Genomic DNA, 27,587 nt, shown 5'->3' on the forward strand with positions numbered 1-27,587 from the left:
CCGCCCTGGTATCTGTGAACTCTCCAGCTAATTAGAAAAGTGAATCTAATTTCATGGATTTCAGCTCCTATTAATTTATCCTAAGCTTGTTGGTAATGAAGCCATGTGTTTGTTTCTTAAGAAGGAAACATCAGAGAGGAAGAGAATGGGTGTGAGGCTGTGCTGTTTATTCCCTTACCTTCAATCTATTAATTGAGGAAATAACATATGATTTAATATATATTACAATGTCATCAACACAGCACTTGCTTTAGCTACTGATGGAGCCCTGTGTGGTTATCTCACATAGGCTTACAGTGCCTGCCACAGCTAAGAAAGAAGGAATAACTGACAGGGAAGTGACCAACAGGGTCTGCTACCTTCCTAATTTCTACTGCTTCATTCTATCCTGTAATATTCAGCAAACATCTATTGAACACCTTCCATGTTCCAGGCAAGCTAGGCTTGAACAAGACTGATAGGGATTTTAGAACCTATGTACGACCATCTTAAACACATAATTATTCCAAATGATTATTTACAATTGTGATAAGGACTTTGAAAAAGAAGTAGTGTGTTTTGTACTTCCCCTTTCCACATAGATATCTTGTTAGCCAGCTAGAGAGGAAACTTAAGACATCAGAGACTGGCCTGAGCTGTCTTTCATAAATCCTCTGTAATCATTACAAGACAAAGCTCACCTTGGTACCTAGATATTATGTAGAGTATTAACTGCTCAGAGTTTAGCAGTAGAGATTAGTAAAAGTAAGTAAATGTTCAAATAAGTGTAAAATTCTGAAACAGACTAGTATCAACAGTATCTGGACAAACTTGGCACTAAACAAAGCAAACTGGAGGCTCTGGCCTCTGAGATGAGAAAGTTCGTCCCCAGATACAACACAGAGACTGACAAGAGTAGACAACAGAGTCTAGCTCAAGACAGAAGTGTTAAATTCTAGTGCCATGGCCAACATTAGCCCCTTGTTTCAGGAGATTTACATGTAAGATTTTCTCAACATCAGCCATGGTTAGAACTGTAGTCCCGAGGGAAACCAGCCATTCATTTCAGGGAAATGTGGGTGTTGACAAGGGAACCCTTGCAGGAGTGTTCTACAGGTGGTCTCCATCCTGCCCAGTAAGACTTGGCTATGGGAGTGAGCTGTGTGAGGGGGGCCAGGCAAACAGCGATGAGATCCCTTTATGTGGAAAATTATATTTTCCCAAAGTGGCCACAATCTGTTTCCTGTTTTTTGAGAACTTGCTACTGCTCCATCAAGATGTGGATTCTGTGTCTCCTCTCCTTGAAGCCGGATGGCCCTTTGTGACTGCCTTGATGAATTAAATGTGGTGCAAGTGATGCTGCATGACTTTGAGGCTAGGTCATGAAAGGAGATGTGACATCTGTCCCACTTGCATATTTATATTCTCTCTCTCTTTCTCTCTCTCTCAGTGCTTGCCCTTGGAACCTAATCTCCATAGTGTGAGGAAGTTCAGGCCATGGAAAGACTACAGGAGACATGAGGGGAAGTCTGCAGGGGGACTTTTGAGAAACGTTTCCTCACTTCTAATAAATAGCTCAGGAAAATATGGTTTCTCTTCTTTGTCCAGCTGTGATGCCTGGGAACTTCTGTGGCAACCTTGCTTCCAGCCAATACACAGAGTGGGGCAACTCTCAGAAAACCATTGAGAAGAGAGTCAGAGTGCTGAAGTACCGTGTCTGGAATCCTGTCTTCCCAACTCCGTGTTTCCTGATCTATCAGGTAATAAACCCTCTTACATGCTAAGATACTTTGAGTTGAGGCGTTCTGTTACTTGTAGCTGAAGTAACATTCTCCCTGATTTGGAATCTGCTCCCTGAGGGCTTTGGTCAGTTCCTGCCCTCTATGTGTGTTCTGGGGACCTGGGCTCTCCCACAGGAGTCATTAGGCTGCAGAGAGCCCCCCAGAGCTGTGCTTTGGGAGTCAGAACAGAGACTTCTGGAGTTGGATCCATTTTCTAGGAGTGTTCATGATTTCAGCAGAACCTGTTTTATTACTTCTTCTAGGGTTACATGTGTGAGCTGAGCCTTTGTACTTTAGAGATCATTTCCTGAGAATGAGAAGTGGAGAAGGGGGCAGGGAGTCATCCTTTATTTGTTATAGTCCCAGAGACAGGTGACATGAGAGACTTTCCTTGGTGGCAGAGGATGAAGGAGGAGGGCATGAACTGTGGAGTCAGATCCAGGATTGAACCTTGACACCTTCCTTGCAGGCTGTGTGACCTTAGGATGGTCACTTCACCTTTCTAGTTCTCAGTGATCACATCTTAAAGTGGAAGTACTAGTCCTATTTCAGAGGATGCAATTGGAGGTTTACAGCCTGTTATCTGATCTGCAACTATGTTTAGTCAGCTGACTGAGTGGTTTTTTTTGAAAAAATTGAGTTTATTCACGGGTGTTTACAAATATAAAAACTTACCAACTTGTAAACTTCAAATATCTGGAGTGTGTTGTATGTCAGTTATACCTCAATGAAGCTGTTAAAAGTTGAATTTGTTGTTTACAATCAGGAACGCTGGAATGTTGGTTTCTTTGGGGGAAAAGAGGGGAAATATTTGGCAATGCTGAGCCCACCTTTTTGTGAGGTTGCAGAGGGCTACCTCCTTCAGACAAGGCATCCCTGCTTCAGTTTGCCATGGTCCCACCAGCACCTCTTGCTCAGAGTGAGTTTTGCTGCTGGCCCTCTGGATTTGAGTTTGTGACCTCTGACCTACCTCATGTATTTATATGTAAGCCTGGATACTCAGAGAGTGGTCTGTAGACCAGCTGCATCCTGAGAGCTTGTTAGCAGTACAGAATCTCAGGCCTCACCCCAGGCCTCCTGAATCAAAATTGCCTTTAAACAAGATCCTTGCACATTCCTTGTGATCCTTGTGATTCTTTGCACCTTCAAATTTAAAAAGCACTGCCTCTGATGATCAGAAATCATGTCTAAAAGTCATCTGGCCCAGAGTAGGCACCCACTAAGGGTAAACTCTTGCTGTGTCATTTAATCCACAGGGCAGTTCATTGTTCAGAGGAGCTCACACTTAAACTGTACTCAGTGATTCTCCTGGATCTCACAGCCAATAGGGGGCAGAGCTGGGATTCAAACACAGGGCTGTGACAGAGATTTATGCTCTTCCCTCTCTACCACCTGCCCCCCTAAGAAGAGAAAGAAAGCATATGCAGAGGGAGAAGCCATAGAAATCACCTAGGAGACCCAAGCTTATCTCTGGGGATAAGATCAGCCCTGTAGAGCAGGTGGCAGGCTCTCCCCAGGGCTACCTGAAGTTTCACTCCTTTCTCTCAGGGCATGGCCCAGAGCTTGGTGCAGAGTACAGTCTCAATGAGGAAGGGGGAAAGGGAGGAGATAAGGGAGGAGGGGGAAGAGGAGCAGGGGAGGAAGGAGGGATGATATCAAACAGGCATGTCTTCAGTTACCTGCCCAGCCCCATGCCCTGGGTGAAAGATAGTGCATTAGTCCATGTTCACACTACTATAAAGATACTACCTGAGACTGGATAATTTATAAAGAAAAGAGGTTTAATTGACTCACAGTTCTGCATGGCTGGGGAGGCCTCAGGAAACTTACAATCATGGTGGAAAGCAAAGGGGAAGCAGGCACTTTCTTTACAAGGTGGCAGGAGAGAGAGCACGTGGAGGACATGCCACGCTTGTAAACCATGGGATCTCATAAGAGCTCCCTCACCATCGCAAGAACAGCATGGGGGAAACCGTGTCCATGATCCTGTCACTTCCCACCAGATCCCTCCCTCAACATATGGGGATTACAATTCAAGATGAGATTTGGATGGGGCCACAGAGCCAGGCCATACCATATCAGATGGTTTATCCATTAGGACTTGCATTCAGTCAAGAGATGGAATTTAAACCTGTAAGTATTTATTATTTTTTTAACCCCACACAACAAGAGTGATAAGTAGTGGTAGTGTTTTAGTGGTTCAAAGATTTGGATCCGCAGTCTCTGTTTCTCTTGGCCATTTCCTCATGGTCACAAGATGGCTGCTGCAGCCCCACTTATCAGGACGTGGGCAGGAAGAGAGGAAAGCAAGTCTTTCTTAGAAACCTTTTAATGTATGTATGTCTTATTGGCCAGAGGTAGGCTAGAAAATATAATGTTTAATTTAGCCTTTTTTTTTTTTTTTGAGACAGAGTCTTGCTCTGTCACCCAGGCTGGGGTACAATGGTGCAATCTCTGCTCACTGCAACCTCCACCACCTCCTGGGTTCAAGCAATTCTCCTACCTCAGCCTCCCAAGTAGCTTGGATTACAGGTGCGCACAACCACGCCTGGTTAATTTTTTTTTTTTTTTTTTTAGTAGAGACAGGTTTTCACCATGTTGGCCGGGCTGGTCTTGAACTCTTGACCTCAAGTGATCTGCCCGCCTCAGCCTACCAAAGTGCTGGGATTACAGGCATGAGCCACTGCGCTTGACCTGTTTAATTTAGTTTTGTCTTTAGCTGGGACTCTTTGTTCTGTTGATCCCTTTCTCCACCCCCACCTTCCTGACAAATGAGGTTTATACTAACAAGAAAGGAGGACACGGTTATTGAGTAGACATCTGGCAATGTCTGCCACGAATGGGAACATAGGACCTAATTCCTGATTCCTTGTTGACCTGGAGTAGTTCTCCCTAGTCTGGAGGTAGCTTGCGCACTCTCTTGGGCTCAGCTTTGCTCTGGGAATGAGAAGCTGTGCCTCCTTTTGTCCCTCCCAATGCTGTGGCCCAGCAAGGCCTTTGGAGAGAATCCATGTGTCTGGGGACAGCTGGACCACAGCCTCCCCACCCTGGCTGCACACCTGTTGGAAGCTATATTTAGAGCAGTAAGTCTAAATCTTGGGGCAAGGAGAAGAGAGAAGCCAAAGGGGCAAGAAAAAAATGAAAGATGCAGCCCAGAAAAATGGGATGTTATTCCCTGTTGTGCACAGCCACAGCCTACTCTGGGCTGGTTCTTAAGAAGAAGGAAGGAATAGCTGTGGGCACTTGTGGGGGCCAGGCTGGAATTAGGAAAACCGCTGTTCACAGGATTTGGAGAGTTATAAACTCTGCCTGCGCTGGCATGAAGGTCTGTCCTGAAAAGTCCTAAAACCCCTTCTAGAATTGTAGAACTGGGGCCCCTGAACCTTTTGACTGTGGCACTCACAGGCAGGGTATAAGACTTCGTGCTCTCCCCTCCCCTCAAATTTCCACTCAGGAAAAAACTCAAGGATTATAAAGAATGGAAAGAAATAAAACAGATTGAATTTGCCGTGCTGCTAGCAATACATAAATGATTCACTTAGTAGTTACTTTAGAATACGAACATACTAGGCTGGGCGCGGTGGCTCACACTTGTAATCCCAGCACTTCGGAAGGCCAAGGTGGGTGGATCATTTGAGGTCAGGAGTTCGAGACCAGCCTGGCCAACATGGTGAAACCCTGTCTCTATTAAAATTACAATAAATTAGCTGGGTGTGGTGGCAGGTGCCTGTAATCCCAGCTACTCAGGAGGCTGAGGCAGGAGAATCATTTGAACCCAGGAGGTGGAGGTTGCATTGAGCCAAGATCGTGCCACTGCCCTCCAGCGTGGGCAACAGAAGGAGACTCAATCTCAAAAAAAAAAAAAAGAATATGAACATACTAAAGGATTTTTGTACTATAAAACAATTTCCTAAAAACTTAAAAATAACTCTCAATAGTTTTGTTTTACTTATGAAAGTAGCTGATATTTGCTAACAGCCCATCATAGGGATATGAGTGATTAAGGGTTGAACATCAAACTTAGACGGCCTTGATGAAATACAGGAAAATTGCAGGTTAAATATTATCGCTGCCAATCTGGATTATTGTAGACTGTGAAGTAAACCTAGCAACCCACTAAAAGGTGAATGGTCACATTAAAGCTAAACTAAAAGAAGCTTTTATAATAAAAATAGCAAGGCCATCAGTAACGAAACAAAAACCACAGCCAGTGGGCAACACTGATGAAGTCGTAGCCATGAGCCCTTCCGGAAAGTTGTGAAATTCTAACCATTTGCAAGTGTGCTTGCAGGGTAGGAGCTTGACAGTGTTGCCAAGTGTTGTGTGGCAGCCAGGTTTTTTAGCAAAGGACACAGTCAGAGTCCTAGGTAATTTTAGTTTATGGATAGTACATTTTAGTAACTTTTCATGACTCACTTATTACGTTACTAGTAAGTAACCCTTCTAAGCCAAAAGTATGAGAGTCTATAGAAGCAGGAGTCACTTGCCTGTAAGAAGTGAAGAAGAGACATGAGGGGTCACTGTGACCCACTGTGGGAGCTCCTGTGGCCTGGCAGGGAGCTGCAGACCACATGTGGGAACTCTGCTTTGAGAAGTAGGTCGGCTACTGGAGGCTTTTCTCCTGCAGTGATCTCTGTCTGTATGGTGCAGCATTATCAAAAACTTTCTCCCTACTGGATTATTTCCATTCGCACACACACAGGCTGTAATTACTCCTATCTTAAAACTTAACTTGCTGGACACCCTATCCCCCCCACCTCCCCAGTTACTACCGCAATTCTCTCCTTGCTGCTGGAACAAAAATTCTCAAAAGAGTTGTCTATATTCAGTATCCCCAATTCTTCTCTCATTCTATCTTGAACTATTCCAGAGGGTTTTTGTCCCCAGAGTCCCACCGAAACAGCCTTTGTCAAGGTTGCCACTGACTTCCATGACAGATGCCCCTCTCATCCTGTCAGCGTCAGCAGCTCATCCCTGATTGCCTGGGACATTTCCAGGCTTTAAAATGGAAAGTCTTGTGTTCCAGGAACCACCACAGTCCTGGGCAAATCCAGACTGGAGGTCGCCTAGATTAATGACCTCCACATTGCTGGATCCAGTGATAATTTTTTTTTTTTTTTTTGAGACAGGGTCTCACTCTGTCACCCAGGCTGCAGTACAGTGGCATGATCTCAGCTCACTACAACCTCTGCCTCCTGGGCTCAAGTGATCCTCCCGCCTCAGCCTACTGAGTAGCTGGGACTATAGGCACACGCCACTGCACCTGCACCCGGGTAATTTTTTTATTTTTTGTAGAGATGGGGTCTCCCTATGTTACCCAGTCTGGTCTCAAACTCCTGGGTTCAAGCGATCTTTCCACTTCAGCCTACTAAAGTGCTGGCATTACAGGAGTGAACCACCGTGCCAGGCCCATTGATAAATTCTTAGTTCTCTCTTGGACCTCACTGCACCTTTCTAAAACACAACTTTTTTTGAGATATCATTTACATATAATAAAGTGTACATATTCAAAGTGTATGAATTAGTAAGTTTTGACATATGCATACACTCATGAAACCATCATGGTCATCAAGGTAGTGACGCTATCCTTTACCTCCAAAAGTTTCTTCATGCCCATTTGCAACCCCTCTCTTCTGCCTTTCATACCTGTGTTCCCCCCAATTCTCACACCTGAGTATTAATAGCAATACCTAATAGTAGTAGTAATTAATAGCATTACTCAATCTACAGATGTATTACTTATCTATTTATAAAATTGGATCTATTTATTATATATAACTTATGTTTTATTATATGCAATCCATATATTATAATCTATTTATTATATAAGGATTATATATTATCAATTACTATTAATAGTAATAGTAATTAATAGTGATACCCAATCTACAGATGTATTACTTATCTATTGCTGTACAAAAAATAACCCCAAAATTCATCAGCTGAAAACTGCAAATGTTTATCATCTCTCATCTTCTGTGGGCCAGGAGTGTGGGGCGCAACTTACCTGGGTGACTCTGCCTCAGGGTCTCTCCCAAGGTTGTAACCACGGGATCCGCCAGGGCTGTGATTTCATTTTATAGGCAAGACAGAAGTCACCACCTCTTTGAAACCTAATCTCAAAAGCGACATCTCATCATTTTTGCCATATTCTGTTCATTAGAAGTGGGTCACAAGGTCCCGCCCACTCTCAAGGGGAAGGAGTTACACAAGGGTGTGAGTGCCAGGGGGTGGGTATTGCAGGGAGACGTTTTAGAGGTTGCCTACCACAACAGGCAACTATTGATCTGCTTTCTGTTACTATAGATTAATGTGCATTTTTTGTTTTAAGTAAGTGGAATCATACAGGATGTAGTCTTTTTTGTCTATCTTCTTACACTCGGCATAATTATTTTGAGATTAATTTATGCTGTTGCATTGATCAGTAGTTCATTCTTTCTATTGCTGAATAGTATTTGTACGGATACACCACAATTTGTTTATTCATTCACCTGTTGATGGACATTTGAGCCACTTATTAATAGTTTTGGGCTATTACAAATAAATCTGCTGTGGACATCCATCTACAAGTCTTTGTATGGACATATGCTTTCATTTCTCTTGGGTAAATATTTAGAAGTGGAAAGGCTAGAACATACGGTAGGTATATATTTACCTTTTTAATAAACTGACAAACCATTTTCCAAAGTGACTGAACCATTTTACATTCCCATCAGCAGTGCATGAGAGATTCAGTTTCTCTGTTTCCTTATCAACACTTGATACGGTCAGCCTTTTTAATTTTAGCCATTCTTGTGGCTGTGTAGCTCTATTTTGTTGTGGTTTTAATTTGCATTTCCTTAATGATTACTGACGTTAAAAATCTTTCTGTGCTTATTTGCTATTCACATACCTTCTTTGGTAAAGTGTCTGTCTTTAGACCATTTTTAACTACGTTATTTGTTTTCCTATTTGGTTTTGAAAATTCTCTGTATATGCTGGATACACGTCCTTTGGCAGGCACATGGTTTATAGACATTTTCTTTTGGTCTGCAGCTTGTCTTTTATTCTCTAATGGTGTCTTTCAAAGAACATTATGTTTCAATTTTGATGAAGTTCAATTTATCAATTTTTCTTTTACAGATTGTACTTTTGGTGTCACACCTAAGAAATCTTTGCCTAAGTCAAGGTCACAAAGATTTTCTTCATACTTTTTTCTAAAATTTTTTGTAGTTTTAGTGTTTACATTTAAATCTAGGGTCATTTTTAGTTAATTTTTGTAAACAGTGCAAGCTGTTGGATTGAAGTTCATTTTCCTTTGTGTGGATGGTCCAGTTGTTCCTACATCACTTGCTGAAAATATTATCTTTTCTCCATTGAATTTCCTTTGCACCATTGCCGAAAATCAGTGTGTATCTATTTCTAAATTCTATTTTTTGTTTCAGTGATCTATTTTTTGTCTTTACAGTAGTAATTATATTGATAATTGTAGCTTTAAAATAATTCTTAAGATCAGGCCGTGTTAGTCCTCCAACTTTGTTCTTTTACAAAGTTTTGCTTTTCTAGGTCTTTTGTGTTTCAACACAAATTTTAGAATTAGCTTGTCAATTTCTACCAAAAAAGCCTGCTGGAATTTTCATTGGGATTGCATGGAACCTACACATAAATTTGGGGAGAACAAACATCTTGAGTCTTTCAACCCATGAACATGATATATCTCTCCATTTATTTAGGTTGTCATTGGTTTTTCTCAGCAATATTTTACATTTTTCAGTGTTCAGATCTTTCATATCTTTCTCCTAAGTATTCCATATTTATTTATGCTATTGTAAATGGTGTTTTAAAAATTTCAACTTCTGATTGTTCATTGCTGGTATTTAGAAGTAGAATTGATTTTTACATATTGATCTTGTGTCCTTCAACTATGCTAACTTACTTAAGAATTCTAGTAGCTATTTTTGTAAATTCCATCACATTTTCTACATAGGGGATCATGTCACCTGCCAATAAAGACTGGTGCCTTTTTTCTTTTCCTTGGATAAACTCCACTTGGTCATGATGTATTATCCTTTCTTACTTATTGTTGAATTTGATTTGCTAAAATTTTGTTTAGAACTTCTGCATTTATATTCATGAGGAATATTGGTCTATCTTTTTTTTTTCTTCTGATGTCTTTGTCTGGTTTTGGTATCAGGGTAATGCTAGTCTCATGGAATAAGTTGGGAAATATGCCCTGCTCTTCAATGTTTTGAAAGAGTTTGTGCAGAATTGATAATGTTTCTCCTTAATCTCTGGCATAATGTTTGAAGGAAATTTTCCTCCTATAATGTTTGGTGAAACCACCTGGGCTGGAGTTTTCTTTGTGTGACTTTTAAATTTTTTAGTTAAATTTAATTTTTTCAGAGACAGGGTCTTGCTCTGTCACCTAGGGTGGAGTGCAGTGGTGCAATCATAGCTCACTGTAACGTTGAATCCTAACTCCTGGGCTCAAGTGATCCTCCTGCCTCAGCCTCTTGAGTAGCTAGGACTACAGGTCCATGCCACCACAACTGGCTAATTTTTAAATTTTTTGTAGAGAAGGGGTCTTGCTATGTTGCCCAGGCAGGTCTCAAACTCCTGGTCTTAAGCGATCTTCCTACCTCGACCTACCACAGTGCTGGGATTACAGGCATGAGCTGCTGTGGCCAGCCTTTTTGTGTGAATTTTTAATTAACGAATTAAATTTCTTTAATAGATATATGGCTATTCAGATTATCTATTATTCTTGAGCGAGTTTTGGTAATTTGTGTCTTTTAAATAATTTGTTCATTTTTATCTAAGGTGTCATAATATTAATTTGTTCATAATACTCCCTTATTATCCTTGCTTTATCTGTAGAATCTGTAGTGATATCATCTCTCTCATTCCCAATATTGGCAATTTTTGTCCTTTTTCTTTTTTTCCTTAGAAGCCCAGCTAGAGGTTTATCAGTTTTATTATCTTCTCAAGAAAATCGCTTTTGCTTTCATTGATTTTTTTCTATTGCTTTCCATTTTCTGTTTCATCCGTTGGCCTTCTGATTTTTATTTTTTTCTTTCTTCTGCCTACTTTGCATTTTTTTTATTATTATACTTTAAGTTCTAGGGTACATGCGCACAAGGTGCTGGTTTGTTACATAGGTATACATGTGCCATGCTGGTTTGCTGCACCCATCAACTGGTCATTTACATTAGGTATTTCTCTTAATGCTATCCTTCCCCCAGCGCCCCCGCTCCCCAACAGGCCCCGGTGTGTGATGTTCCCCACCCTGTGTCCAAGTGTTCTCATTGTTCAATTCCCACCTATAAGTGAGAACATGCGGTGTTTGGTTTTCTATCCTTGTGATAGTCTGCTGAGAATGATGGTTTCCAGCTTAATCCATGTCCCTGCAAAGGACATGAACTCATCCTTTTTATGGCTGCATAGTACTCCATGGTGTATATGTGCCACATTTTCTTAATCCAGTCTATCATTGATGGACATTTGGGTTGGTTCCAAGTCTTTGCTATTGTGAATAGTGCCACAATAAACATACATGTGCATGTGTCTTTAAGTAGCATAATTTATAATCCTTTTGGGTATATACCCAGTAATGGGATCACTGGGTCAAATGATATTTCTAGTTCTAGATCCTTGAGGAATTGTCACACTGTTTTCCACAATGGTTGAACTAATTTACACTCCCACCAACAGTGTAAAAGCTTTCCTATTTCTCCACATCCTCTCCAGCACCTGTTGTTTCCTGACTTTTTAATGATCGCCATTCTAACTGGCGTGAGATGGTATCACATTGTAGTTTTGATTTGCATTTCTCTGATGACCAGTGATCATGAGCATTTTTTCATGCATCTGTTGGCTTACTTTGCGTTTTATAAGATCTTCTTTTTCTAGTGTCTTAAGGTGGAAGTTGTAACCATTTCTTTTTTTTTCTAAAAACTGTGGCTCTATGTCAACCTTTCTTTTCTAATATAGGTGTTTACTGCTTAAATTTCTCTCCAAGTACTGCTTTAGCTGTAGCCACAAATTTTGGTATGTTGATATGTTTTCATTTTCATTCAGTTCAAAAGACTTTGATGTTCTTGGACTATCACCTCCATCTCCTCAAGCTGGGGTGTCTATCAGGCTCTGCTTGAGACCCATCCCTCTTTTGAGTCTGGAAATTCCCTTGCAGCAGGAAGCTGGGGTAAGAAGATGGCTGACCTTATTTATTTCCTGTCTCTGAGGGAGACCTGTCTTTCATTGCTTGATGTCCAGTGCTTTGAAAACCTTGTTTCATATGGTTGTTTCATGTTGCTGAATTCTTTTTTGTTTTTTGAGACGGAGTCTCTCTCTGTCACCCAGGCTGGCATGCAGTGGTGCCATCTCGACTCACTGTAACCTCCACCTCCCGGGATCAAGCGATTCTCCTGCCTCAGCCTCCTTAGTAGCTGGGACTACAGGTGCCTGCCACCACGCCCAGCTAATTTTTTGTATTTTTAGTAAAGACAGGGTTTCACCATGTTGGCCAGGCTGCTCTCCAACTCCTGAGCTCAAGTGATCCACCTGTCTTGGCCTCCCAAAATGCTGGGATTACAGGCATAAGCCACCACGCCTGGCCTCATGTGGCTAAATTCTACTAAACAGTGAAAGAACAATAATTTCAATGCCATGTAAATTCTGCCAGCATATAGAACACGGTAGCATACCCTTAAACAACTTTTAGGAGACTTGTGCAGGCTTGATTAAAGAAAAAAAAAAAACAGACAGGACAGTATGAGAAAGGAAAATTATAGGGTAATTTCGAGTGGGTAACAAAGTGGAAATCCCAAACAAAACAGCAGTAAACAGAATCCCACACGGGTAAAAAAGATAATACATCATGATCAAATCGGATTTATCCTAGGAATGCAAGATTGACTTAATATTAGAATTTTTCTTACTGAAATAGAGATTCATTTTTGTTTTACTTGTTTCATTTTAGTTTTGATTTTAGATGTTTTTTTAACATTAAATTTTATCATTATGGAGAATGTTTACATGGTTCCAAAGTCAAACCTACAAAACCAGGAACATTCTAAGAAGTCCAGCCCTGTCCCTGCCCTTGCCACATTTTTCTTTCTTTCCTGCCCTTTTTTCTTTTTTTTTTTGAGATCGAGTCTCACCCTGTCACCCAGGCTGGAGTGCAGTGGCGTGATCTCGGCTCACTGCCACCCCCACCTTCTGCTTTCAAGCGATTCTCCTGCCTCAACCTCCCAAGTAGCTGGGATTTCAGGCATGCGCCACCACACCGGGCTAAATTTTTTTTTTTTTTTGTATTTTTAGTAGAGTTGGGGTTTCACCATGTTGGCCAGACTGGTCTCTAACTTCTGACCTCAAGTGATCCACCCGCCTTGGCCTCCCAAAGTGCTGGGACTACAGGCGTAAGCCACTGTGCCTGGTCTCTTTCCTGCCTCTTTAGTAACCATTTTTTAATAATAAAAAAAACCTTCCATTAAAAATATGATTGTATCCTACCCCTTTTTGGATAAGTGGTAGCATACTATACACACATTTGCCATCTTACTTTATGTACTTATATGTGTTGGAAACTCCTTTGTCATGTACAGAAATGGTTCTCATTCCTTTTTACAGCTGCATATAATTCCATTATATAGATATATAGGCTGAGTGTCCCTTATCCAAGATGCTTGGGACCAGAAGTGTTTTAGATTTTGGATTTTTTTTGTGGTGTGGGGGGAGGGTTTGGAATATTTGCATATATATAACGAGATATCTTGGGGATGGAACCCAAATCTAAGTGTGAAATTCATTTGTTTCATATACACCTTAAACACAGAGACTAAAAGTAAGTTTCTATAATATTTGTAATAATCTTGCATGTGAAACTAAGTTTTGACTGCTTTTGACTGCATCTGTCATATGAGGTCATTTGTGGAATTTTCCACTTGTGGTGTCATGTTCATGCTCAAAATGTTTTGGATTTTGGAGCATTTTGGATTTCAGATGTACCATAGTTTATTCAACAATCCCCTGTTGTTGGGTGGGTCAGGGCAGGTGGCTTTTGCATTTACAAATAACTCTGTAATGAATAAGCTTGCACATGTGTTTTTTTTCTTTTTGTCATATTTGGGAGATGTTTCTAGAAGTGAGATTGCTGAGTCAAAGAGTGAAGACAGAGAGAATTTTGCCAAATTCTTTCCATGGTGATTGTACAACAATTTTGCATTCCTGCCACCAAAGTATGAGAGTGTCTATTCTCCAGAGCTTCATTAACAGAATTATGTTGTCAAAGCTTTGAATTTTTACCAGGAATAGGTGAGTATGAGATCTCAGTTTTCATTTGCATTTCTCTTATTAAGAGCAAGGTTGAGCATCTTTTCATATGGTCAAGAGCCATTTGCATTTCTTTTCTGTTAATGGTCTGTTCATCTGACTTGCCTATTTTTCTATCTAGTTGAGGTCTTTTCTATTTTAGGACGTTTGTTAAAATATCGGGAATATTAACTCCTTGTATTAGAAGTTGAAACTATTTTTCCCCAGTGTATTGGTTCAGATTTTTTCCCTAATGCAAGAAGTCCAGAGGTGGGGACTGTCCACATTGGCTCCGTGGTCCCCTGTGTCAGGGCCAGCTTTTCTGAGATTCTCCAGGCATCTCCCCAACAGTCACGTTATGACTATGTCAAAGGCAAGTAGGACCAGGAAGGGATGGCTCCAGAGATACTTGTCTCTTATTAGGAAGGCAAAACTTTCTCAGAAGCCCCAACAGATTTGCATTCAGATTTAATTGGCCAGAACTATGTTATAGGCCTCTCACCTCCAGCTTCAGGGAAAGCTGGGAAAGAAAATATTTCATCTTCCCAGTCTCTGGAGTGGAGGTGGGCAAGGCAAAGGAGATTAGAATGCATGTTGAGTTATCCAACCAACTACCACAGACAAGAGGGGTGAGTTTACATTAAATAAAAGACCTATCTTTTCTCCTGTTCTGTGACATGTCTGCAAATCCACAGTAAATCAGTAGTTGGGCTTACAACTCCAAAATGGAATTCAGTTTGTTTGATTGTTTGTTTTTGAGATGGGGTCTCACTCTGTTGACCAGGCTGGAGTGTGTTCACAGTTTACTGCAGCCTCTACCTCCTGGGGTCGAGATCCTCCTGCCTCAGCGTCCTGAGTAGCTGGGACCACAGGTACGTGCCACCATGCCTGGCTAATTTTTGCTTTTTTTTTTTTTTTTTTTTTTTTTTTTTGGAGAGACTGGGTTTTGCCATGTTGCCCAGGCTGATCATGAACTTCTGGGCTCAAGCAACCCTCCTGCCTCGGCCTCTCAAAGTGCTGGGATGACAGGCGTGAGCCACTGTGCCTGGCTGGAATTCAGTCTTGGATGCCTCTGTAGAGGTTTCGTGTCCTTCCTTCTGAAGCAAGGAAGGTGAGATGACATCTAGAGACCGGTGTTTCCCCGTAGGAGCCTATTTGTAAGGAGTACTGCTAAATGGGATCATGTCCAGAGGCAAGTCACCAGGGCAGGGGAGCAAGGACCTTAGGAACCCTGCCCTGCCAGGAAAAGCCTGAAGATTCAGAGATGTCATCTTAGCGAAGATGTGGAAGAGAGCAAGACATGCCTCACTGAAAACCCAGAGGACTGGCATGTGGAAAAAATCAGATTTGATCTGTAGTAACAGTTGGTGCATGTTACAGTGAGGCGGATTCCAATTCATTTTAAACAGTAGTTTTTACTAATTCGGGATGGGTTGCTTTGTGAGGCCGTGAGCTTCCTACCCTCTGTGTGATCAGTCTTGCCACTCTCATGGCTTTATCCTTCATTACTCTCTGGTTTTATCCTCCACCTCTATGTCAGTGATTCTCTAACCTGTGTCTCTCCTCCAGAACTCTCCCCTGACCCCTGTCTTCTTCAACCCACCACAAAGCCCTTTCTTATTCTGAGTTGGATCAGTCAGGGTCTCACCAGGAAATGGAAACCTCTTGAATATTTAAAAACAGAGGGACTTTAATGCAGGGAATTTGTTAAACAGGTAATAGTCAGTCGCCCAGCCTAGAAGTTAAACAGAGGACAGTGAGACAATTCAAAGTAACAGCAGCAGGAAGCACTGTCACCCCCAGGCTGCAGGGTCACCCAGCAAGAGCTGGAACCACAGTGGGCTTGTCGGGGCAGCATCTATAGGAATGGAAAACACACAGCAACTGTCCGAGATTCTCTTAAAGCAGAGGCAGAGTGAGAAAGAGCCCAGCACCCAATTTCCTGCCAATGCTCCCCAGTGGCCAAACAAAATAAAAAACCAGATGATAGAGAAACCTGAGAAATGCAGCCCTGCAGAGCACAAGAAAGGTGAAGGAGAATGGGCTGAGCACAGATACACAAGGCAAGAAGGGGTGGAAGGTCTCCTAGATTTTCTGGGGTCTGTGGGCAGGGCTGGGACACTAAGAAGAAGGTTCTTTCAGAAGCAGCCTCTGAGCCAGGGATTTGTATGCAAATGATTTTTTTTTTTTTTTTTTTGAAGACAGGGTCTTACTCTGTTGCCCAGGCTGGAGTGCAGTGGCACGACCTTGGCTCACTGCACCCTCCACTTCTTGAGTTCAAGCGATTCTTGTGCCTCAGCTTCCCAAGTAGCTGGAATTACAGGTGTGCACCACCATGTCTGGCTTTTAAAAATTTTTTTATTTTTTAATTTTTTTTATTTTTAGTAGAGACAGGATTTCCCCATCTTGGCTAGACTGGTCTCAGACTCCTGACCTCAAGCGATCTGCCCACCTGGGCCTCCCAAAGTGCTGGGATTACAGGTGTGAGCCATCATGCCCAGCGTGCATGCAAATGACTTATAAAGAAAGTGTCCCAAGGAGAGCTCAGTGAGAGAGTCAGGGGAAGCAGTGTTGGAAAGGGAAGAAGCCAATGGAAGGAGAGATTTCAGGGGAAGACTGAACATCGTTTGATCCGGTGGAGAGGTCTGAGGTATAAACTGCTTCTGAGAGTTTGTGCCTGCTCAGGCAAGAGGGTGGGCTTTTTAACCCTGTACCTGTCAGTCCTTGCTGGAGGGTGGGAAGGGGATGGACCTCTGGCTCTGAGTCTGGTGGATGCCTGTATGCTCCAGGAGCCCAAGGATGAGCCGCTGGAGAAGGTCACAGCTGCGAACGATGAGTAGCAAAGCACATAGAAGCTGGGGGTGGGACCATAGCATTAGAAAGGGGATGTGTGGGGGATCTGGGTAGATGACCGAGCATGTCTGCCAGAGAGTGTGCAGGTGGGAGGGGATGGTGGACCTTTCCCATAGACATGCACATGGTAAAGCGGGAGGTAGAAAGCAATACACAACCTCAGAGAGAGACAGATAAAGTGCCACGGGTGGGGGTGCTGTATGGGAAGGAGAGGTTGCCTCTCCGCTCTGGTTTGTGATGGCAATTTTGCTGTAGTGACTGTCGTAGATGTAGAAGTACCCTTAAGATGCTGCACAAGGGCCAGGCATGGTGGCTCACACCCGTAATCCTCGCTTTCTGGGAAGCCAAGGCAGGCAGATCGCTTGAGCCCAGGAGTTAGAGGCCAGCCTGGGCAACCTGGTGAAACCCCACCTCTACAAAAAAAAAATACAAAAAAGTAGTCATGTGTGGTGATGTGTGCCCATAGTCCCAGTTACTCGGGAGGCTGAGATGGGAGGAAATCACCTCCTCTGATCACTGACTGGGTTCTTAAAGCCCTGGGGACTTTGGACTACGCACGTTGTGTCCTTTGTTGTTGTCTCCTGGCTCTGGGGCCATGTTCCTTGTGCTCTAACTTTGCTTCTCACACCATGGCAACGGAATCTGGTGCCTTCTCAGGCTGTCTGGGGTTGACCCTGCAGACCCCTGGTGTCTGTCTCTGCCTAGTCCCCAGGTCATTCTGAGTGCAACTCCGGCCACCTTTTCTTTTCCAAATGGTCTGGAACTCCCCCCTTCATATAACAGGGGGCTCTCTGTTCTCTCTCTTTAAGAAGCTAATTTCTAAATATAATCCTGCTGTATTATGGGTAGATGCAGCGATACAGTTAATGAGTCTCTAATGTAGACAATTATAACCTAGAATACAGCTTGGCTTGGTTCTCTACCACTCACGTGCACAGACAGTTGCAGTAACACATACCCACTCACAATTATAATCTTGTTCTCTGAGAAAATACCATACCCAGGCCTCACAGGCAGCAGACCCAGAGTTGTGTACCTGCACACACACACACAGGCACACAAACACTCAGGGGCCCTTACACACTCAGAAACATCCACTGTAGTAGAAGCGAGGACCTGCCACTGTACCTGCGAGAGAGGCAGAGGAGGTAGCTGTGTTTATAGCAGGCGGTCCTGCCTCTGCTCCCACCAGCCACCTCTAATTGGACCAGATGGTTACTTGCCCTTGGTTCCATAAGCACCAGTACTTTTAGGAATTCTTTGGTGGCAGAAGCAGAAACCAACTTAGAGTTTCTTAGGAATCAGAGGTATCCACAGAACACAAGGGCAGAAATGATGGAAGGGTCTTACGTGGGACTTTAACTGAAAACTGGAAGCCGCCTTCAGCCGAGGCAGTTAGTTTCTCTCTCTCTCTCTTTTTTTAAATCATTCTGGGGCAGCAAGGTCTTCCATCTGTCATCTGCTTCTCTTTTTTCTTTCTCTCTTCTGTCTTGCTAAAATACCTACATTCAAATCACTTGAAGCATTTATTAAAAATTTAGAGCCCTGAATCTCTGGGGATGAAGCCAAAGAAACTCCACTTTTAACAAATGCCCTAGGTGATCCTTCAACATGCAAAAGTTTGAGAACCACTGTGCTAAGGAGGTACATAATTCAAACATTGACACGTGCCTTCGAGACATGCCCTCCTAGTCACAGCACCACCAACTAACTAATTTGCATGTCTGTGTCCCAGTTTCAAATTTCTGGGAGTCAGAAGCCAACTGAATCAGCATGGGTTGGATGTCCTGGTCCAGTGAGCTGTGGGTGTTAGTGAGGGGAGTGGTTTGGTCCCATTGGAAGGTGTAGACGCTGACAGAGTAGGGACATTGCCCAACTTGTCTGTTACAGTGAGATGTTCCCAATTCCTCATAACAAATTCTCTTTTACAGAAGTTGGTTTGGGTGGGCTTTTTGTAGTCAAATGACTGCTGAGGCACAAATTGTCAGAAATACTCAGGCACACATTGTCACTCACACATGCATACATACGCACACACCCATCATTCTGAGCACTGTGGAGAGGTTTGCTTGGTAATGATCTCTTTGCAGCTTAGTAAGACTATAAAGAAGGTGGGGAACCTTTATTAATTATATATCTTACATTCAATGAAACATAATATTTAATTTAAATACTTGCGGGAGGCGTCTTTGATACTTTGATTTGCTTCCCAGAACAAATGGCTTCTCTCCCTCCCTGGCCTGCTGAGTTGATCTCTCATGATGAAAGACCAACCTGGTTTGTCCCCTTCACAGGATTTTTGTCGTAGAAAATGATGAAATGCTTTCCCAACAGAGTGTAAAGCCAAGGCTGCAGTCATGTTGCCAGGCTTGACAAGGAAATGCCAGGAAAATCTATCCATTTTATGTTTTCTAGACAACAGGCTGGGGAGGTGAGGCTTATAACAGGATCCTCTGGGTTGCAGCCTGAGAGGCTGACTGCAGGAGGCAGGTGTTCCGTGCAGATGACCCCACAAGCACGGTAACGGTGGACACTACCCCCCGCTGTCCCTCACCCTACATCAGCCATGCCTCCTGATCTTGGCCACACCCTCCTTTGTGCGGGGAACTGTTGATCTCTGTGGGCTCTCAGGAGTGAAAGAAAAACCATCTCCTGGGCTGGGTGCAGTGGCTCACGCCTGTAATCCCCGCACTTTGGAAGGCCCAGGCGGGCAGATCACTTGAGGTCAGGAGTTTGAGACCAGCCTGGCCAACATGGTAAAACCCAGTCTCTACTAAAAATACAAAAATTAGCCAAGCGTGGTTGTGTGCACCTGTAATCCCAGCTACTCGGGGGCTAAGGCACGAGAATTGCTTGAACCCGGGAGGCAGTGGTTGCAGTGAGCCGAGATCATGCCACTGCACTCCAGCCTGGGTGACAGAGCAAGACTCTGTCTCAAAACAAACAAACAAACAAACAAACATCATCTCCTGAGGTGAAAGTTTGGTGGCCTGGTGACAATTCCAGACAACCTCCAAACACTATAATGCTACAGAACCTCTTATAATACTAGAACCCTGGCAAAACAGGCTAGGAATTCTTGTTTTGACCAAAGCTTCCAGAGTTCAGATAGCCCAAGATCTGATTGGAAGAAGGAATCTCAGAGTACTTCCTTAGCTGGGAGTTTCCAAAGCAATGCATCTGGCCGAGTCCAGGCCAGCTGGCTGAATGCATCCCTGGAATTGCCTCTCTTCCCTTCCTGAAAGACGAGAGACTTGGCACTAAATGTAGGTCAAGTTTCTATCCGAGATTCTTTTCTCTTTTTCCAAGACAAAGTCTGGGAAGTAGCTGGGCTGGGGATGGTTTGGGACATGGAGGAGGAAATCTAACATTAGTTGAGTGTCTCTGATGTGTTAGACACTGTGGCTGGTGTATGAATGTCACTGCATCAGATCCTCACAAGTCTTGTGAACAAGAGAGGTTTGTCCCCCACTTCACAGATAAGGACACTGAGATTCTGGAGGTAGTCACTTGCAAAGATCACGTAGGAAGAGGCAGAGACAGGATTTTAAGCTGCATTGTTTGGCTCCAGAAGGTCGCCCTTTTCCACTGCACCTGCCACAGGAGAAAGGTAAGGTGCAGGCTTCTCTGGCTGGGTCTGCTTTCCCCAACTACTTCTTCTTTTTTTTTTTTTGAGATGGAGTTTTGCTCTTGTTGCCCAGGCTGGAGTGCAGTGGTACTATCTCGGCTCACTGCAACCTCCGCCTCCCGGGTTCAAGCAGTTCTCCTGCCTCATCCTCCCAAGTAGCTGGGATTACAGGCACGCACCACCATGCCCGGCTAATTTTTGTATTTTTAGTAGAGACGGGTTTCACCATGTTGGCCAGGCTGGTCTTGAACTCCTGACCTCAAGAGATCCACCCGCCTTGGCCTCCCAAAGTGCTGGGATTACAGGTGTGAGCTACCGTGCCCCAACTGCTTTCCCCAACTTCTAAGGGCTCACAGCAGTGGAGGAGGGGCCCGGCAGGAACTAGGAGCTCTTTGGCTTTCACAGGGCCAGGTCGCTTTGCTGGCTATTCTCTCTCCCACCTCTTCATTCTTTCCCTCTTCCAATCAAACAACCTCCAATCATTCTGAAGCTTAAACAAACAACAATGACAAAAACAAAACCTCCTTGACCTTCCTCTACTTCTAACCACCATTTTCTCTTTACAGGCTGATGAACTCCTCTTCTCAGTTGAGCTACTCAAAAAAAGTTATCCTAATGTCTCATCCCTACCTTCCCCCCCCATCCTCTCTTCATCCCATTCCAAAGTGGGTTCCTGTCTCACTGCTCTACTGCAACTGCCCCAGCAGGGCCACTAATTACCCTCTCATTGTTGAATTCATTAGACACTTTCCATTCTCATATTATTTGATTTCTCAGCAGCATTGACCTGTTAACCTCTCGGTCCCTCATGATAACTTATTTTCCTTTTCTTTCATGATGACATAGTCTCTGGATTTTCCTCCATCCTCTTGCCTACTCTTTCTCCATCTTATTTTTGGGCTCTTTCTCCTCCATCCAACCTTCAAATGTTCAAGTTTTTCAGGGCCTGGCCTCAACCTCTTCCCTTCTCATTCCACACTTGCTCTCCAATCCCACCCATTTCCTTGGCTTCCATGCCTCCACATTTATGTCTCCAGCCTGCATGATCCCCCTGAGCTCCAGATCCACGTATCCGACTGTTGACAGAGGAGTTGGCAAATTTTTTTCTGTTAAGGACCAGATAATAAATATTTTATGCTCAGTGTTGTCTTCTGCAACAATTCAACTCTGTCATTCTAGTGCAAATTCAACCATAGACACTAAAAGAACAAATGAGCACGGCTGTGCTCCAAAGAAATTTGTTTATGGACATTGAAATTAGAATTTTACATAATTTTCATGTGTCAGGAAATAGTGCTCATCTTTTGATTTTTTCCAACCATTAAAAATTTGAATTTTATATAATTTGAATTTTATATAATTTTCACACATCAGGAAATATTATTCTCCTTTTGATTATTTTCAATCATTTAAAAATGTAAAAACCAGATGACAAGCCAGAAGTGACCCATGGGCTGTAGTTTGTTGTCCCTTCATCTGCGTGTTGGTTCACTGGGATGTTTCATAGGTGTCGCACACCAGCATGGCCAAAATGTCACCCTGGACTTGCACCTCCAGATCTCAGTGTCCACAGCTACGTCAAAGACCCTTTAATACTCATAACTGCTGTGCAAGAAACTGAGAGTCACCCTTGATGGAGCCTTTTTTCTCATCCCTCCCTGGTCTCAACTTCCAATCCAAGTCCTATTGATTCTCCCTCCTAAGTAAGTATAGCAGGATAATATTGTGAACTATCTGCTATGTTTTTTTTTCTTTTTTTCTTTTTTTTTTTTGAGACAGAGTTTCACTCTTGTCACCTAGGCAGGAGTGCAATGGCACTACCTCGGCTCACTGCAACCTCCGCCTCCTGGGTTCAAGTGATTCTCCTGCCTCAGCCTCTGGAGTAGCTGGGATTACAGGCATGCACCACCATGCCTGGCTAATTTTTTGTATTTTTAGTAGAGACGAGGTTTCACCGTGTTGGCCAGGCTGGTCTTGAACTCCTGACCTCAGGTGATCCACCCACGTCGGCCTCGCAAACTGCTGGGATTACAGGTATGAGTCATCGCACCCGGCCCTGCTATGGTTTTTATTCTGGGAATTTTGAGTGGTCTCGCCTTCTCCTCTCCTTCAAGTCTTTTCTCAAATGTTACCTCTACACAAGGTCTCGTCTGACTGACCACCCTTTTTTAAATGGCAACCTGATACCCCTTACCCTGTTTTAAAAATCTTCCTTTTTGCACATATCACCTATTAATTTACTATGAAATTTAAGATTTGCTATTGTTATTGCTCATTGCCTGTCTCTCTCCTGGCTAGAATGACAGCTCTTCAAGGGCAGAGATTTTTGTCTGTTTTATTCACTGCTGTGTCCCAAGCACCTAGAACAGTGCCTGGCACATAGAAGGGGCTCAACTAACATGTGTTGAATCAATGCATGCTGCTGAGGCTTAGCTTCCTTCATGGGGAGGGAGGGCAGGATCCGCAGCGACAAAGAAGTCATTGCTATTCTTAAATGAAACTCTTTGAAGCTGGTTCTCGGCCCTGGCTGCAAGGCGGAATCATCAATTCTGCCCTGCAGAATTGATTAAATTGATTTATTCATCAACTAAATCAATTGAACTTTAAGATCAATTGATCAATTAAATCAGAAGTTCTGGGAATGGAAACTTTTCAGGTCCCTACAAAAATTAAGCCAAGGTTAAGAACCACTGCTTTAAAGCGATAGAAAGACAATGGTCAGAAAAGCAAGACTTTCATTTGTAGAAGCCAGGCTTTGTGGGGGTGGAAGAAAGCATGCGTGGGCTCTGAAGATCCTAAGCTTAGATGACTGGCCTTAGATGGGTGTCTGAAAAGGGAAGAAAACAGAGCATGACACAGATGGAGATGCAAGTGCCGCTGGGTGGCAAGAGACGAGGATCAGTGAGGACATGGAGGAGGCTGGCACCTCAGTCCCTGTGTCATGGTTCAGACTAGGGGTGGGCTGGGATGTAAAGATGGAGGAGGCTGTCTCATTTCTTCCAGAATCTGCAAGTATCAATGGGGGAACACTGAAGCAGGGAGGACCTGAAGCATCCTCTCAGTCCATCTCACCCTGAGACCCTTTCCCTTCCAGTAGTGTGTGAAGGGAGTGAGGAAATGTTCCCGGGCCCCAGAGAGGGGTCACGCAGGTGGCTGATATTGGGATCCACTGTGCTGTGGTGCAAGGGAACCCAAGAGACAGTGGGAGGGACAGCTCCAGGCCCGTGCAGGATAGGCTCAGTCTCAGAGGATTGACTAGGTCCATGATTGCAAAACTGGGTGGTGGGTCAGAGGAAAGTAGACCATCATACACTTAATCTGTTGAGAAAATGCAGCAATGGTCGCTGTTGCTGGAATGGAGGGGGAGCCAAGGCTGACACTCAGACAGGCCTAGTCACCTCTACAGGGCTCAGCACCCCCTGGCTCCATAATGTCTTCCAAACCATGGTAGGTCTGTGTTTTTTGTTCATGTAACTCTCGTAACTGTCATCCTATGGTGATGTGAGTATTGCTCAATGATTATTTTCTATCTAAACTGTTAGGCCCATGAGTGCTAGGACCACGTCTGCACCCCCAGAGGCTAATGCAGTGCCTGGCACAGGGGCATGGATAATTATTTTAATAAACAAAGAGAGGAATGAGTGGGAGTCATGCCGTTAGTCGTTGGCTGAGTGGAGCTAGAATCCCAGGTCCTGGGTCGGCTTGCATAGTTCCTCAAGGTGCTACTGGAAGGAGGAAAGCCTCCTCCTTGGGTGCCTTGAAGACAAGACCCACACATGTTTGCTGATTTGAGCAGGTCTGGGCTTGTCTCCACATGAGTGGGTCTTGCATGGGATTCGTCAGCTTCGGACACAGGTGTATTAGGCTGGGCCACATGTCACACTGTGTCCTGCCTCAGCCCTCTCAAAACTTGGCTCCCCTAACACCTAGAGGGGTCCTGTCCTGGCTAAGGGCTTTCCCAGCTCCCTTCCCACCCCACTCTGCCCTTCCCGCTGGCTGTAGGGCTTCTCCCCACCTCCCTCCACCAGGGGCTCCTGCCTTCCAGTCTCCTCCCAGTCTCTTTCCTGTCTCTGGACTGAAGGCCCCATAAAAAGTCACTTTGGCCTCAATCAATAGACCATCTCTTTAACAAGGGAGATGCTGGTTTGTAAAATGGAGCCTCCAAGGCTGGGCTGGGTGCAGAGCCAGCCCTTGCAGACAGCTCTGCCTTTCCGGATGGTGCATTAGGCAGCATCAGCAGATTTTTGCCTTTTATGAGGACATATATGACTCCCCAAAGAAACCTTAACAGAGAGGGGATCGGGAAAGTGGGAGAGTAGAAAGAAAAGTGAAGGAACATTATTCTGAAAGTGCAGAGAGGCTGCTCAGGTTTGGTTCTCTCTGCCACCTTCCTGTTCCTTTTCTAGAGTCCTTAAGTGCATCAGTAGCGTTATGCAACTAAGAAATTCACTCACACAGTGTGAACACACAAGTTCACCCAGATAGAGAACGCACACAAACATGCACACGTGCTCTGGGCTGTCACCCATCACCATCACATACCCATGATGCTGTTCTTTAGGCCAGAAGTGCTGTCTGTCTGTCCCCTCCCTTCCATACTGCCCGGCTACCTCCCGGTCCTCTCTCACGCCTTGGCCCACTTTTCAATCATCATCCTCAGGGAGTCCCCGGGCCCAGTCCCCTGGTTAAAGGCACAAGGTGCCTCCCTCTTTTGAGGCATTTTCTGTACTTGGAATTTGACATTTATTTGCATATGACACACGCCTCACCTACCAGGCTGTAACCTGCAAGTGACAAGGACAGTTTTGTTCTATCTTCCACCCTTAGCATGTTGTCTTGTACATAGCAGGTCCTCATGAAATAATTGCTAAATGAATTAATGGATGTGATAGACAACTTCTAAACCAGCGCCCAGTGCTCTTTACCCCTGACATTCATGCCCTTGTGTAATCCCCTTCCCTTGAGTGACTCACTTCTAATGAATGGAAGACAGCAAAGGTGCAGTGGACTGAATGTTTCCCCCAAACATTTACATATTGAAATCCTAACTCCTGCTGCGGTGGTATTGGGAGGTGGGACCCTGGGGAGGTGATTAGGTCATAAGGTTGGGGTCCTCATGAATGGCATTAGTGTCCTTATAAAAGGAACCCCAGAGAGCTGTCTTGCCCTCTCTGCCATATAGGATATGAGAAGATGACAGTCTGCAACCCAGAAGAGAACCCTCACAGAACCTGACCATGCCGGCACCCTGATCTCAGGTTTCCAGCCTCCAGAACTGTGAGAAGTAAGTTTCTATTGTTTATAAGTCACTCAGTCTCTGGTACTTTGCAACAGCAGCCTAAATGGACTAAGACAAATGGGGATAGGTGTTGCCTGTGTGATCAGGTTCCCATTCTGTCCTCTCTCTCTCCTCAACTTGCTTGCCCTGATGCAGCTGGCTTCCATGTGTAAAGTGCTCTATGGAGAGGCCTGTGTGGCAAGGAACTGGGAGTAGCCTCCAGATGACAGCCAGTAAGGAACTGAGACCCTCAGTCCACCAACCCATGAGGAACCCATGCAATGACCACATGAGTCAAACTTTGAGATGACTGCAGACCGAGCCAGCCCCTTGATAAGAGCTTTGTGAGAGGATCAGAGCCAAAGGACCAGGTAAGTTGTGCCAGATTCCTGACGCACAGACACTACAAGATGATAACTGTTGTTCATTTAAGCCACTAAATTGGGGTCATTTGTTATGCAGCAATAGATGAGTTTTACAACAAATGGATGACTGAGAAACAACCACCAACGCCCCATCATGCATTGAAGCCTGTCCTCATCATGTAGTTGAATACAATCAAATCTGCCCCTCCACACAGCTCAACCACTTTACCATACAGGAGCAATGTTTTGCATAGACACACACACACACACACGCATGCATGCACACACACACACACATTCTGAAAGGTACTCTCCCTTTCTCTATTTTTGCTACCTTACTACCCCATTCAGGTAGATAGCACCCAAAAATCTCACTGTGTCAGGCCAGAGTGCCAGGCCCACTTGGAAACCACCCCCTGGCCTGTCACTGAGCCCATCATCCTCATGGGCCCTCCTGTCCGTTTCTGTGTCACCACTAAGGCCAGAGTTACCAACTGCCCAGTGATCTCATCACAGAGACTAAGTGTTAAGGCTAAGGAGCTGCAGCAAGGGTGGGCAATTGCAGGGGAAGTTGTCCCTCGAGCACCCCCCAGCCACCCAGGTCTGCCTCACAGAAGGCCGCCTGTGCTTCTGTGGCTCAGCCCCTCTCCTGCTGTCAGCTGCAGGCCTGGCCTGGCCAGCGTGGAGGAAATAAAAGAGAACTGTTCTCGGCCTGGAGCTTCCACTAGGGCAGCATTGGGAGGTGGCAGTGCACACCCTTCCCCTGTTGCCTCACTTGCCCTGTCCCAGCCTCCCTAGGCTCTGGAGGGGAGCCTCTGCTGGCCCACGGCTCACAGGGCCCTTCTCTGGGGGTTGTTTCTATAAGGAGGACCACCACTTAAACTGTAACAGAAGAGGCTCACATTTCTGGTGTGGGGACGGGCTAATTTTTAGAGACTCTAAGCCAGGCAGATCTTCCAGCAGTAGCACAGTATCCTTTATTGAGGGGTGGGGAGTGGAGTGAAGGCTATTGACAAGTCAAAGTCCAGAAAACCTGCATTTCTTCTCCTCTCTCCCTATCATTAACCCAGAGGGCCTGCCTTGTCCTGGGCCTAATGAAGCTATTCGGAGTCTAGAGCTGGCTTCCCTGGGAAGGATAGTCGAGGGACACCTGCAGGCGTTTTGCTTCTTGCTTTCTCAGACCTTGTTCTCTCTCAAATCTGCTCTCCGTAGGCAAAATATGGGGAAGATTGGTGCTCTTCCATCAGGCCCCATGACCCTCCTTTGTGGAAATGAGCAGCACGGGCCAGTCTTCTAGAAAGATTGTCTTTCCGACGCTTCCTGTAGGCAGGTCCAAGGCTGTTGTTCTTTGCCTGTCACCTCCGTGGAGCCACTGCTTCCGTCCCAAGAGCTTGGGTAGTAGGCTTCTGGTCTGG

General features: G+C 44.4%; 1 long non-coding RNA gene across 2 annotated transcripts, besides 1 other annotated feature; it reads left to right on the forward strand.

Annotated features, from left to right (window-relative positions):
* The first annotated feature begins 1,587 nt into the window (after positions 1-1,587).
* Positions 1,588-27,222, forward strand: LOC107984801 (uncharacterized). Of its 2 annotated transcripts, none has more exons than XR_001751596.2 (3): positions 1,588-1,739; positions 25,712-25,813; positions 25,964-27,222. It is a non-coding gene; the product is annotated as an uncharacterized LOC107984801 (long non-coding RNA). The 2 variants fall into 2 exon arrangements; XR_001751597.2 differs by lacking the exon at positions 1,588-1,739 and adding an exon at positions 13,880-14,051 and having other exon boundaries at positions 25,964-26,796.
* Positions 2,670-3,171: an enhancer, noted in NCBI's record as "NANOG hESC enhancer chr15:73127371-73127872 (GRCh37/hg19 assembly coordinates)". NCBI's record gives its function as "activates a minimal SCP1, AML or CMV promoter by ChIP-STARR-seq in primed H9 embryonic stem cells {active_cell/tissue: H9 hESC(primed)}" and the evidence as "EXISTENCE:reporter gene assay evidence [ECO:0000049][PMID:30033119]".
* Positions 27,223-27,587: the final 365 nt, after the last annotated feature.

Source organism: Homo sapiens, chromosome 15, assembly GCF_000001405.40.
Source record: "Homo sapiens chromosome 15, GRCh38.p14 Primary Assembly".
Classification (NCBI taxonomy): Eukaryota; Metazoa; Chordata; class Mammalia; order Primates; family Hominidae; genus Homo; species Homo sapiens.